Source organism: Homo sapiens, chromosome 4, assembly GCF_000001405.40.
Source record: "Homo sapiens chromosome 4, GRCh38.p14 Primary Assembly".
Taxonomy (NCBI): Eukaryota; Metazoa; Chordata; class Mammalia; order Primates; family Hominidae; genus Homo; species Homo sapiens.
Window position 1 is genome coordinate 184,500,686 of NC_000004.12, and position 13,716 is coordinate 184,514,401.

General features: G+C 45.9%; 1 long non-coding RNA gene across 1 annotated transcript in view, besides 5 other annotated features; it reads right to left on the reverse strand.

Moving 5' to 3' along the window:
• Positions 3,140-4,339: an enhancer, noted in NCBI's record as "CDK7 strongly-dependent group 2 enhancer chr4:185424979-185426178 (GRCh37/hg19 assembly coordinates)". NCBI's record gives its function as "activates an origin of replication core promoter dependent on BRD2, BRD4, P300/CBP, MED14 and CDK7 cofactors, with strong dependence on CDK7, by STARR-seq in HCT116 cells {active_cell/tissue: HCT116}" and the evidence as "EXISTENCE:reporter gene assay evidence [ECO:0000049][PMID:35650434]".
• Positions 3,223-3,312: an enhancer, noted in NCBI's record as "active region_22223". NCBI's record gives its function as "activates an Ori minimal core promoter by ATAC-STARR-seq in GM12878 lymphoblastoid cells {active_cell/tissue: GM12878}" and the evidence as "EXISTENCE:reporter gene assay evidence [ECO:0000049][PMID:35858748]".
• Positions 3,363-3,432: an enhancer, noted in NCBI's record as "active region_22224". NCBI's record gives its function as "activates an Ori minimal core promoter by ATAC-STARR-seq in GM12878 lymphoblastoid cells {active_cell/tissue: GM12878}" and the evidence as "EXISTENCE:reporter gene assay evidence [ECO:0000049][PMID:35858748]".
• LINC02427 (long intergenic non-protein coding RNA 2427) overlaps positions 5,775-13,716 on the reverse strand; it is a 31,124-nt gene continuing 23,182 nt past the window's right edge. The window contains exons 2-3 of the long non-coding RNA NR_147158.1: positions 8,552-8,640; positions 5,775-6,691 (exon numbers count right to left, since the gene is read on the reverse strand). This is a non-coding gene — a long non-coding RNA (long intergenic non-protein coding RNA 2427). The remainder of the gene's footprint in view (positions 6,692-8,551; positions 8,641-13,716) is intronic.
• Positions 6,179-6,388: an enhancer, noted in NCBI's record as "active region_22225". NCBI's record gives its function as "activates an Ori minimal core promoter by ATAC-STARR-seq in GM12878 lymphoblastoid cells {active_cell/tissue: GM12878}" and the evidence as "EXISTENCE:reporter gene assay evidence [ECO:0000049][PMID:35858748]".
• Positions 13,613-13,702: an enhancer, noted in NCBI's record as "active region_22226". NCBI's record gives its function as "activates an Ori minimal core promoter by ATAC-STARR-seq in GM12878 lymphoblastoid cells {active_cell/tissue: GM12878}" and the evidence as "EXISTENCE:reporter gene assay evidence [ECO:0000049][PMID:35858748]".

Consider the following 13,716-nt stretch of genomic DNA (forward strand, 5'->3'; position numbering starts at 1 on the left):
TCATCTTTGCCTGGTCGGCTGGAGCAGGCTCCTCACCGGTATCTCTGCTTCTACTTTTTTTTTTTTCCCAATAGTTCAGTCTGCTCAGAGGCACCAGAGTGTGATTCAAATATATCATGTCACTTTCCTGCCTAAAGTTCTTCACACATTTCCCATAGCAATTAGAATAAAATTCACACTCCCTTCAATGGCTTAAAACCTCTCTCTGCATATGGTCTGGCCTTTGCCTAACTTTCTAATTTCATCTGCAACTATTCTTTTCCCTGCTCACTGTGCTTAGCATAGAGGTCTCCACACGACAGCCCACAGGCAAAAGCCAGCCTACTCCCTGTTTTTGTACAGCCTCTGAACCAAGAATGATTTTTACATTTTTAAATGGCTAGAAAAAAAGAAAAAAGAAAAGCAATATTTTGTGACACATGAAAATGAGATGCAATTCAAATTTCAGTGTTGATAAATAAAGTTACGTTGCAACATAGCCATGCCCATTCATTTACGTATTGTCCAGGGTTGCTTTTAGGCTAAAGAAGCAGCTCTTATTTTTTAGAGCTCAGCTGTTGCAACCAAGGCTAAATGGCCCACAAAGCTTGAAATATTTGCTAGCTGGCCCACTACAAAAGAAGTTTGCCAATTTTGCTTTAGCCACAATGAAGACCTTTCTGTTGCTGAAACTCACTCTGTGCATTCCTTCCTCAGGGCTCCCTGTTTCCTAGTCTTTATTCCTGGTATGTTCTTCTCTAGCTTTTCACGTGGCTGGTTTGTTCTCATAAAGTCTGGCTTAACTTGGACAAAACCAGCAGAAGGTCATATACTGTCAGACTGTATCTGCTTCCATAGTGACCAGTTTCCAAACCCTGCATAGACAGATTTGGTTTCAGATTCTACATTTTTATCTGGCAGTAGCGAGGCAATGAGAGCTTTCTTGAGGCCACGATTGGTTCTGAACTCCATCAACCTAGTGATTTCTCCTGCAATTGGCGTAAATGAAGCTTGTCCAACCTCACAGCCCATGGGCTGCAAGAGGCCCAGGACAGCTTTGAATGTGGCCCAACACAAATTCGTAAACTTTCTTAAAACATCATGAGATTTTTTTGGGTATGTGATTGCTTTTTAGCTCATCAGCTATCGTTAGTGTGTTTTATGTGTGACCCAAGACAATTCTTCTTCTTCCCAGGGAAGAAGCCAAAAGATTGGACACCCCTGATATAAATGGATGTTCCTCCCCTCTCCCACCCAGGAGACTAAGAAGCTGAAGGAAGAGACTGTGTGTTCCATATCCCAGACTCAGGGGAGAAAACGAGATGTCACTGAAACTCTCCCCGTGGTCGTTTCAACCACATCTCCATCACATTATAGCCAGCAAGGGCGCAAGCACAGGCCAGAATTCTTAACGGAATTGTGGACATGGGACTTCCAACAGAGGATAAGGTTTGCTTTTATTACAGGGCACTGGTCCACCAAACAGGGCGTCAGTAGGCCCTCTGGATAAAAGCTACATTTATCCATGATGTGGAGAGAGGTCTTCCGAGCTAAAGTCAGTGCACATGGTCTACACCACGTGTAGTGCGGTGTGGTGTAGACAATGTGCACGGACCTTGGCTCAGAAGACCTCCCTCCACATCAGCTGCAGGGTGCTCCAAGTCACCCACCCACTCTGAGCCTATTTCCTCATCTGTAAAATACCAACCAGCCTAATCCTCTTAGAGATTGTTTAAGGATCTGGTGAGAAAATATTTTTACAACGCTTTTTAAACTAAGTCTTAAAGAAATACAAAATATTTTACTAGCCCTTTCTCGATGGCATGAACACAAAATTCTGCTTAAGAAGTGCACCACAGGGCTGGGTGTGGCGGCTCATGCCTGTAATCCCAGCGCTTTTGGAGGCCAAGGCAGGTGGATCACCTGAGGTCAGGAGCTCCAGACCAGCCTGGCCAACATGGTGAAAACCCATCTCTACTAAAAATACAAAAATTAGCCAGGCATGGTGGTGGGCGCCTGTAATCCCAGCTACTCGGGAGGCTGAGGTAAGAGAATCACCTGAACCCAGGAGGCAGAGGTTGCAGTGAGCCGAGATCACACCACTGTGACAGAGCTAGACTCCATCTCAAGATAAAAAGAAGAAATGCCACCATGGACAACTCCCATGATTTTGTGAGTATCTCAAGAGTATTTAATTAAGTTGGCACATCCTTAAATGTATTACTTTTAAATATATATAGGAGAAAAAGACATGTGTGAGGTTTGAAGGGATGTTGCTTAGAATGCAAATACATTCTGTGAGATGTGGGGTGGGGACCGACTGTGGAGGCAGAGACGAGAGAGGGAGATTCTGAAAAAGGAAGCCGCAAGGATAACAGATCAAGGCCAAACCAGGAGAGAAATGCGTCCAGACCTCCTGGGTAAGCATAACTCTCACACTAATGTGACAGCTTTAATTTAGAAAGTGTACGTTTCCCAAAGCAATTCAGTGAATGGGGTTCACTGTAGGAATTGTTTCAGGGTTACCAAGTGCAGTGAATACCAAGGGGAGTATTATGACAGAGCCTACTGAGGGACTTTTTTTTTTTTTTTTTTGAGACAGAGTCTTGCTCTGTCGCCCAGGCTGGAGTGCAGTGGTACGGCCACAGCTCACTGCAGCCTTGACCTCCTAGACTCAAGCAATTCTCCTGCCTCAGCCTCCCAAGGAGCTGGGACTGCAGGTATGTGCAACCCTGCTCAGCTAATTTTTTATTTCTTTTGTTTTTTAGAGACAGGGTCTCTCTCTGTCACCCAGGCTGGAGTGCTACGGTACAATCATGACTTATTGCAGCCTCGAACTCCTGGGCTTAAGTAATTCTCCCGCCTTAGACTTTGGAGTAGCTGGGACTACAAGAGTGCACCTTCACGCCCAGCTAATTTTTCATTTATTTTATTTTTTACACATGGGGTCTCGCTTTGTTACCCAGGCTGGTCTCAAATTCCTGGCTTCAAGCAGTCCCCCCACTTTGGCCTCCCACTGGGATTATAGGCACGAACCACCATGCTATATGGAACTTTTGAATTGGGGTTTAGAAGAAAATGCAGTAAGTTCTGAGAGACTGAGGATGATGCTTGGCCAAAGGGCTGGTTTGAACATGAAATGTATCTCTATTAATGCCCGTGTGAGGGCCCAGAGGTGCCTTGGCCCTGGAGTCAGGAGATGTGGGTCCCAGGCAGTGCTCTGACATGCCCTAGCTGAGCAGAGCTGCTCTCTGGGAGCCAGTTTTCTGCTTGGTAAAATTAGGACAATATGCTCTATCTTTCGGGTTGGGGAGGGTGGTGCGAGGAGCAGAAATAATGCGTGGAAAGCAATCTGCACCGTGCCTTGCAGGAGAGGAAGCTGCTGTTCCTGTTTGCATGTGCCAGGCCAGTTACTGTAGAGATGTACGCTTCATTAAAACACCGTCATCTTCACCAGGCTGCAGAGATACCAGGGTTACAGCACAGCTGAGATGAGGAGCTGACTGATCCTGTTGGGAGGACCTGGAGATGATTCATGGTAAGAGCACTACAGGAAGAGAGAGAAGCATCTGCTTCCTCGAGTGCCAGGGTGGCAGAGAGGCCACCGGAAGTCTTCACTTGGCTGAAGACTTGCAGTGAGTCTGGGGTTTAATTCAGAGGATTGAGAGAAGGCCAGCACCATGGGAATTGTTCAGCATGGGGGTCCAGGGCCAACAGAGAGAATTCTGATTGTATTCAAGAAGAAAGGCGAAACTCGGAGCTAGGATAGCTGAGCTGAGCAGGAGGTCAGAGAAGTAGGAGTAGCATGCAGAAAGTGGGCCAGCAGCCGGGAGAGGCCTGCGAGGTGGGATGTGCACACGGCTGATGCTGGACACCTGGAGCCAGGGCGTGACGGGGGCACTGGCTGACTGCCCAGGGCCCATGCCTTATCCCCCGCCCCCACCCACCACGCCTGCCCACACTTTTCTGTGTGGGTCCTCACCCAGCCTGGCCACGCTCCAGTGGCATCCGCAGCTCTGCTCTTTTCCTCACCCACAAAGAGCACAACAAAGAGGGCAGCAAGGTTAGGCCAGGTGAGAGGCCACTCACCCTGGCCAGCAAGTATGGGTGAGGCAGGACATGCCAGGCCCCTGGCAATCCAGAAGTCCCCTTGGAAGAGATGGAAGACGCAATTCCATCCAGCAAGAACCAACCCTCTTGCCCACTTACCAATCCCATTCTCTCCACGTAGCCCTCCAAAGCAACTCCCCGAGCATCTTCAAAGCCGGAGGCCTGGAAGTGATGAGAGGCCAACATGCGCTCTAATGAGATACAGCCCTGGGTTCCACTTCATCTCCTTGAGACTCCAGCTTTTGCTTGCTCTCTCCATGTCCACCTTCCCTTCCTGACTGCCAGCGGCAGCCGGCAGATCATATTTCCATGCGGCAGCTCAATGCACTCAGCCAATGCATAAAGGAAGCCAGTGGAAGGTTATCAATAAATAATGGATCAAACAGGGAGAGTGTGAAAGATGAATACTGGATGTTTTCCAGGACTTTGCACAGTCATTCATATGCATATATACCTTGCAAATTTCCAAGAAGAAAATATAGCATGTGGCATGTCTCAAACTTGATTGTTCTATAGAAAATGTTATGAGCTCAACTGTGTCTCCCTAAAACTCACATATTGAAGCTCTAACCCCCAGTACCTTAGAATGTGATGGTATTTGAAGATAAGCCTTTTAAAATGGGAATTAAGGTAAAAGGGGGTCAGGAAAGTGGGCCCTAATCCAGTTTGACTGGTGTCCTTATAAGAAGAGGAGGCTAGGACACAGACACAGACACTACACGTGTGCACACACAGACGAATGACCATGTGAACACACAGCAAGAAAGCAGCCACCTGCAAGCTGCCGGGCGTGGTGGCTCACACCTGTAATCCCAGCACTTTGGGAGGCCGAAGCAGGTGGATCACGAAGTCCTGAGTTTGAGATCAGCCTGATCAACATGGTGAAACCCCATCTCTACTAAAAATACAAAAATTAGCTGGGCGTGGTGGCAGGCACCTGTAATCCCAGCTATTCAGGAGGCTGAGGCAGGAGAATCGCTTGAACCCAGGAGGCAGAGGCTGCAGTGAGCTGAGATTGCGCCACTGCACTCCAGCCTGGGTGACAGAGTGAGACTCCATCTCAAAGAAAAAAAAAGAAAAAAGAAAAGAAAACAGCCACCTGCAAGCCAAGGAGAGAGGATTCAGAGAAACCAAGCCTGCCAATATCTTGGTCCTGAACACCCTGCCTGCAGAACTGTGAGAAATCAATTTCTGTTGTTAAAGCTCCCGTCCATGGTGTTTTGTTACGGCAGCCCTAGCAAACTCATGCAGAAAACCTCTTACTATCTGCATGATCTGTTTAGGATGTGCTGAAATAGTATTATTCACCATTTCAATACTATTTTATTTATTTATTTTTATTTTTATTTTTTTGAGATAGAATCTTGTTCTGTCACCCAGGCTGGGGTGCAATGGCACGATCTTGGCTCACTGCACCCTCCACCTCCTGAGTTCAAGCGATTCTCCTGCCTCAGCTTCCCGAGGAGCTAGGATTACAGGCACGTACCACCACGCCCAGCTAATTTTTGTGGTTTTTTCTAGTAGAGATTGGGTTTCACCATGTTGGCCAGGCTGGTCTGGAACTCCTGACCTCAGGTGATCCGCCCACCTCAGTCTCCCAAAGTGCTAGGATTACAGGCGTGAGCCACTGCACCCGGCCCAATACTATTTTATTAAAGCTTTTCTATTTTCTTATTTTCTAAAAATAAGTTTATTTTTATTTATTGGTTATCTAGTATCACTGATTTCTAAGTACTAACTTTCCCCATCTTTGTGTGAGTTCTTTGCACCTGATTCACATAAATCCTTGAATGGTACCTACTCTATAAATAGACAAACGCTTCCCGTGCATTCTCAGCCTGCATTCATAATCCCTCCCTAACCAGCCACTGCGGTGGCTTTGTACTGTGTCAATGTACCTAAGCTGAACTATGTTTCTCAGAAAATCTGAGCAAAATTTGGAAGGCAGAAGTGAAACAGCAGTCATATTTACAGTCAAAGTCTGTGTAGGGCCAGGCGCTGTGGTGGCTCACACACAATGCCAGGCAGCCACTGGCTCAATGTATTGGTACAGGGCAGCAGCTGTGCCTGCAGTTCCTCCAGCTCCCACCAGAACTGCTTCTTCAGCTTCACTGAATCTTGGGTTTATGAGCAATTCCATGGTGAAGGGCACCAGCTCCTCTGCAGGTCATCTTCATCATCAGCGCTGGAGTGTTGGAGGCCTGAGAGGCTGACGTGGAAGACATCAGTTTCAGTCCATCCACAGGAGTTCCATCTCCTCCCTGCAGGTGCAGCTCACGCCTACTCTCTCCCACTGCACATCCATTTGCCAGCCCTGCTGACTTCAGGCCCACTTCTGGACACAGGGGCAGCAGGTTGCAGCTTTCATAACAATGTGTATCCTAATCTCTTTAATAAATTCCTTGTTTTGCTCAAGGTGGTTTTGCTTCTCTGATCAAACTTTAATGATACAGATTTTGGAAACATCATAGGTGCTGCTGCAGTTAAAAACCTAAAATGTGTGGCACTGGCTTTGGGGCCAGGCAGCGAATAGAAGGTAGAGGGGCCTTGAGAAGTCTGTCAGTGAGGCCTTCAATAAATATGATGAAAATATTGTTGAAACCTGGAAGAAGGAAGACAGGTTTGTGTAGCGGTGGGAAGTTTAGCAACATTGAAACCCAAGATAACTTGGAAAATAGAAAATGTATCAATGAGCTGTATGACTGAGTGGAGGGAATTGACAGGCACACGGGCCACCTAACTTCTAGCTGCCACAATAAAATAAGAGAGAATGGGCCAGGCGCGGTGGCTCACACTTGTAATCCCAGCACTTTGGGAGGCCGAGGCGAGCAAATCACGAGGTCAGGAGTTCAAGACCAACCTGGCCAACATGGAGAAACCCCGTTTCTACTAAAAATACAAAAATTATCAGGGCCTAGTGGCGGACGCCTGTAATCCCAGCTACGTGGGAGGCTGAGGCAGGAGAACTGCTTGAATCCGGGAGTCAGAGGTTGAAGTGAGCCGAGATTGTACCGCTGCACTCCAGCCTGGGCAACAGAGTAAGACTCCATCTCGAAAAAAAAAAAAGAAATGAAAATAAAAAATAAAAATAAATAGGCTGGGCGCGGTGGCTCACGCCTGTAATCCCAGCTACTTGGGAGGCTGAGGCAGGAGAACTGCTTGAATCCAGGAGTCAGAGGTTGAAGTGAGCTGAGATCGTACCAATGCACTGCAGCCTGGGCGACAGAGTAAGACTCCGTCTCGAAAAAAAATAAAAAGAAATGAAAATAAAAATAAAAATGAGTAGGCCGGGCGCGGTGGCTCACGCCTGTAATGCCAGCACTTTGGGAGGCCGAGGCGGGCAGATCAGGAGGTCAGGAGATCGAGACCATCCTGACTAACATGTTGAAACCCCATCTCTACTAAAAATACAAAAAAAATTAGCCTTCTGTGGTGGCGGGCACCTGTAATCCCAGCTACTCAGGAGACTGAGGCAGGAGAATGGCGTGAACCCGGGAGGTGGAGCTCGCAGTGAGCCGAGATCGCGCCGCTGCACTCCAGCCTGGGCAACAGAGAGAGACTCCATCTCAAAAAAGTAAATAAATAAAATTAAAAATAAATAAAAAATAAGAGAGAATGGATATGAGCTAAGGAACCCATGGCAAAATATAAAGGTGGCAGGACTTGCAGGATTTGAAAAAAGGAAAAAAAAAAAAATGGTTTGCCATTCCCAGCCTCTCCAAATGGCAAACATCTCAAAAATTAAGAAATGGCTTGTGGATCTGGTTCTAGTTAAAATGGAGTGAGCCGATGCCATGGTAGCTCCCCAACAGGTTACTTCTAAGAACCCCAGAGTGGATACATAAAGCAACTTAATAGGGACTCTGCAAGGAAAAAACAGCAGGTGGGTTGGAGAGGGAGAGCCGAACTCCAAGAAAGATGAATAAGGTGGTAAGTTTCCTCTTCTTCCCCTTCCATGTCTCTTGACATAGATTCAGGGCAGCCAAACCCAGAACTGCTTAAGTGGCAGGGACAGGAAACATTTCAAGAGAAATTCTCTCTTTCCAATCAATGGAATAGGAACAGGCATCCCTGCATGGCAGAGCAAGTGAGGGAAACCTGGCTTTATTCCATCCTGACCTGTCCCGATGCCATAAAAGAGTAAGACTTAGGGGTCTTTGGTGGGAGATGAGTGTATTTTGCATGTGGGAAGGGTGTGAGTTATTTGCCAGAGGACAGGCTGGTGGACTAACGTGATCCAAAGATGGTGTGAGAGCACCCCTCGGCCCACATGCTGTTTTCATAATGTGATCTTGTCACCTCCCATCAAGAGGTGAAGTCTATGTCCCTTCCCCTTGAACCTGGGTGGGCTTTTGTGCCTGCTTTAACCAATAGAGGATGGGAAAAGTGACACTCTGTGACTCTAAGACTAGATTATAAAAGGCAATGCCATATCCTACTGGCTTTTTCTTGGGATACTCACTCTTGGAAACCAGTGGCCGTGGTGTCAGGAAGCCCACACCACACGTTGAAGCCCCAGCTGAAGTCCTGTTAGTCCCAGTAATCCTCAGACTGTAGGAGATAATAAGAATGAATGAATTTTTTTATTTTATGCCACTAAAGTTGTGATTGTTTGTTATAAAGGAATAGCTATATAACTCTCCCCAAAGACCTGAACTGTAAAGCAGGAAGCCAATTTATTACTTTATAAGAAAGATTAGGTCTTTCCAAAGACTACTTACTCCATCCTCGGCAGCCCCTTCCAGGTATCCAGGTCCCTTCAAGGCTACTGGATGAATAAGAAAACAGAGCACAGAGACCCACAGGCCTGGTGACACCTACTGAAGCTCCTGCCCCAAGCTGTGTCCACCAGTGACTGCCATTTCCTTTTCCCACCCTACCCCCAATGCTGGCTGTCTCATTTGTTCTGGAGAGGGTTTATGTCCACCCATCTCCTGCTATTCATAGTCATTCTTTCCTAGATAAAGCAAGCACAACAGATTCATGTTCTTCCAGGTCAGTACACTTATTATGTTCAGTCTCACAGACGTTCCTGTAGATGTCCCGATACAACACACTGATTCATCAGGAGCATCACTCCTTAGTCAGTAGTTTACTGTTTATTCATTAGTCTGACTTCACTCATTACCTTTTTATTCTTCTTCATTGCAGTCTGAGAGGTTAACTTATCTCTGAGTTGGGATTGTCTTAGTGTCACCCCATGAACTGATATACATGGTCAGTCCCACCTATCAGCCAAAAGCAATGCCTAGTGACTTGTTTGGGTGCCGAACAAAGGGTGTTCATGTATCATATCTTGAGAAAACATGAAGCTTCGCACATGTACTTGTCCACCTAATATTTTCATTCTGAGGCACATGGGGCTGATTGGCTGCACTGAGCCACACGTTAGCATAACCCCTCTGGTTACTCTCAGTCCCTTGTTATAGGACCAACAGGTTCATGTGTTCACTATGCAGTAACAGAACCATAACACAGAGACAGCAGGGTTTGCAGCAGAGAAAGTTTAAGAATCTCAGGGTGCCGAGCAAGGAGACAGGAGGAGACCCTCAAATCCACCTCCCCAAGGAGTTCTTGGCTGGGGCTTTTAAGGGGATCATGAAGGGGAAGGGGCTGGATAACTGGGGTCCTTGATTGCTCATAGGGGGATGAAATCATCAGGATGTGAAAACTGCATTCTTTGGTGAGCCAGCCTCTTTTGTGGTCCTTTGGACCAGCTGAGTCAGTAGTTTCATCAATATGCGGGAACTGAAGGAGTAGCTCAAAGGGAAAACTTAATGTTTCATAATTCTCAAGTTGTTTTCTATAGAGCAGTTAAGGGGAAGTATAATCTCATAACAGGGTCTACATGATCCTAGGACAACAATAGTTGTTCCTCAAACAACTCTGAGGAAGCAGGTCTGAGCTGGCTGACCTCAAGGTCAATGCTGAAGGTGATGCAAGCTGGGTTTATTTTCATGTCTCCCCCTTTCATATTTTCTGATTAATTTTATCAAGTTTATAGAGTCAGGCCGGGCACGGTGGCTCACGCTTGTAATCCCAGCACTTTGGGAGGCTGAGGCGGGCGGAACACGAGGTCAAGAGATCGAGACCATCCTGGCTAACATGGTGAAACCCCGTCTCTACTAAAAATACAAAAAATTAGCCGGGCGTGGTGGCAGGTGCCTGTAGTACCAGCTACTCGGGAGGCTGAGGCAGGAGAATCGCTTGAACCCCGGAGGCAGAGGTTGCAGTGAGCCAAGATCGCGCCACTGCACTCCAGCCTGGGTGACAGAGCGTGACTCCATCTCAAAATACATAAACAAAATAAAATAAAAATAAAGTTTATAGCATCAGTTTCACCCTTTTATTTCAATTTTCTGTTCCTTTTACTACTTTTTAAATCTTTCTACTCCCTTTCCCCTCAAGCTTATACCATGGCACTCTCACACAAGTATGAGCTGTGCTGACAAACTGCTTCAATTCTTTTCGGGAAGCAGCAATGGTTAAATCCTTACTTTTGCTGCAGAGCTTACTGTCAGTTCTCAGACGTGTGACCTCTTGGAGCCTCAGTCTCCTCATCTGCAAAATGGCGACAGCAGCTATTGTCACCTGTTTTCTTCCCAAAATGACCATAAGGTTCAAATAAGATCATGTGGGTGAGAACACTGTGAAAGGCTTGGCAAGCCACACACATGTCAGGAAAACATGCGGATAATTTCCTACAAAAATAATTAGGCATTCGCTTTCATTCATTTGAATGCAGCCTTTGTTTCTTTCTTGCATCTAATTAAATCAAGAGAAATGTCAGGTGTAGAATTCTTAGGGATCAGGGTTTTGTTTTTGCTGGGCAAGAAACATATGCCCTCAAGTGCCTTGGGCACATAGTTACTTTGGTTTTCCTGTGCTCTACAATTAAAGCCTTATCTGGAATTGTTATGGCTTTGTATCGTTTCAGCTATTTTGATGCTAATGAAGAAAAGTTCAGCAAGGATGAAATTCTAAATATCTAGTACTTTATTTCATAAGCATCTTCATTAATAGTTATGGCTCATCACATGACCGGCCTTCTCAAAAGCAAGAGGATGTGGATGTCATGGAAGCCCCTGGAGAAGGAAATTTGGAAACCCAAATAAGTAAATTTAATTAGCGATCTCACATGAAATGATTGTGAGATGCAGGCAAATTTTCCCCTTCCTCCCAGCAGGAGGGATTTGTCCTGGTGTGTAACATTTCAAAGGCCCTAGCTCATGAGAGCCACTTTTCTCCAAAGCAAGGATGCTTTTGCAGCTGCTGTAAGGTGTAGGGATTTCATTTTAAATACAAAATGTGTTCCATCTTCTGTAAGAACCTGCAGCTGTTTGGCCACTCTGTGCAAGAGGTTGAATGTTGTGCATTGTCCCTGGAGCTGCTTTAGACCAAAAGCAAAATATTTTCTGCTTCCAAGAATTGGTGAAGGGCCACCTATCAGAGGAATTTAAAATATTTCTCCAATTAAGCTCCCTACCTACAGAGTCCACTTTGAATATGAGAAGAAAGGGGCAGCAAGTTAGCAGAGCTGCTCTTTGAAAAAGCTGTTCTTGAGAAGACAAAGCTCTCCTCAGAGCAGCCTTCGGTCCTCTTTCTGAACAAGAAAACACCTGCATTCAGGAGGACTGCAAAGCCCTCATTCCCTCTAGGCAAAAGGAGAGAGAAAAGTTTGGATTTTTCAGTGTTGTTATCCAATGTTGAACATCTAGAAGTGAATGCCCAACTCACAAGTAGTGTACGCGGTCAGTAGGCAATACATGTTATTGAAGGAATGAGTTAACGAATACCACAAAATGATAACACTTTAGCTTTAAAGGAGATTTTCTTTACAAAACTCCATCAGCCTGAGTTCAAGCTGTTCTTTATGATTCTAAAACCACACAGCTGCAAAGTTGTAGCACAACTCACACCTGTAGATGGATGGAGGGAGAAGGGGTAGGCTCACCTGGAAGTCCACCTGGCAGGTTAGCTGCACCAAACCTGGCACTTACTGGGATGAGACTTGGCATTTAATGGGATGAGAGGTCCTCGCAGGCTTTCCTTAGATCCCGTGACCTCTTCTATTCATGCACTTCAGGAACAGCTATTGGCCAAACGCTGGTTTATTGCCCAGCTATCACTTTTTCTTCCTTTCAAATTATTTGGAGTTGACCACACCAAGTTAGCCACATCCCAAATACTTGCACCAATTATCTGTAACACCAAATGTCAAATCATGGTATTTAGTTGTGTTCCAGAGGAATATTTGAGTCGTGATTCTAGATTCTATGGAAATCTATAGAAAAGTAGTCGTGTCATGATTGCCATTGTCTTCTGTTACATATTCAACCTCTTCTGTCTTGCTTTTGTTTCTGTCAGAGATGGCATAGAAGCGAAATGTCAAGGTCTTGCTTTATGCCATTTGGCTGTCATATATAGCCATTTAATTTTTCCCTTCCCAGATGGGACTCAGGTGGCAAGGTGACAACTTTCAGCAAAATACTTTCCACAGAACCAAGAGGTCCTTGACGGGGTGACCTTTGGGGTCTAGGACACAAGGTTATACAAGAGGGTTTGGTGCACAGAGCTGCTGCATCTGATTCCCTTCCTCTCTTTGTCCCAAACCTGAGGTTCTGTGGTTTGTCATAGTGGAATTTCTACAGGTAACACGCTGTATGCCTGACAAAGCCAACTGTCACGTAAGTGTTCGATGGCATCTCTTTTTGGTGTGTGGAGCAGCTTAGAGACAAGGTGGGACTGAAGCCTGCAGTTTCCCAGAGTTGGACACCAGGACCCCAACAGTAAATGTCTTAACTCAGAGCTGTAACTCGGAGGCATCTGTAGGGAATCCTCATCGCACTTCATTTGCCCAAGAGCTGAAGGGACTTTTACAATAAAGCCCTTCGAACAGGAAGGGAGTGATCATTTAAGATCCTTGTAAGGTACACTAAGAAGATGAAGGATGAAGAGCCATGGAGAAGGGGAAGAGAACATTCCTCCATGCACTCTCCTCCTTTGAACCTAACCAGACAGCCTCACCTAGATCACAGACCAGAGAGTCCTTCAGGCAGCTGTGACATCCAGGAGTCTCTCTGGACAATTTCTGCCTAAAGATGTCCTTGACATACTGAATGGTTGCTCCAGTCTGACACTACTTCTCTTCTCTTCTCTTCTCTTCTTTACATCTCTGACATCTCTGAGCTTCTTTCCAGTGACATCACTCATCTTAGGGTGGTACGGATGAAACCCAACCACATTGCTTATGCCTCTTTTTTTAGCTTCTTTTTATTATGAACTCTTTCCTCCTAACACATTTAAGGGGGTGGTGCAAGCGTGTACATGTGAACTTTTGCTTGTTTGAATTGAGAAAATGACGAAGCATCAGGAATGTCCTAGTTTTGAATATGCAATATCAGCAGATCCTTCTGTGCAACTCTCCCAAAAAAGGGTGAGATTCTGTGTATGCATATGCCTACACCATCCTGGCAGCTCCTCCCCCAGGTCCCCCCTGTGAGCTCAGCCTAATGACTAGTCCTCAAAGATTGTCCCTGAGTGGAACTGAGATGTTAAGGTACATTTTCTAAATGTGGAATTTCCTATTCAGGACTTCCCAACTCATTCCTGTACCACCCCACTAGA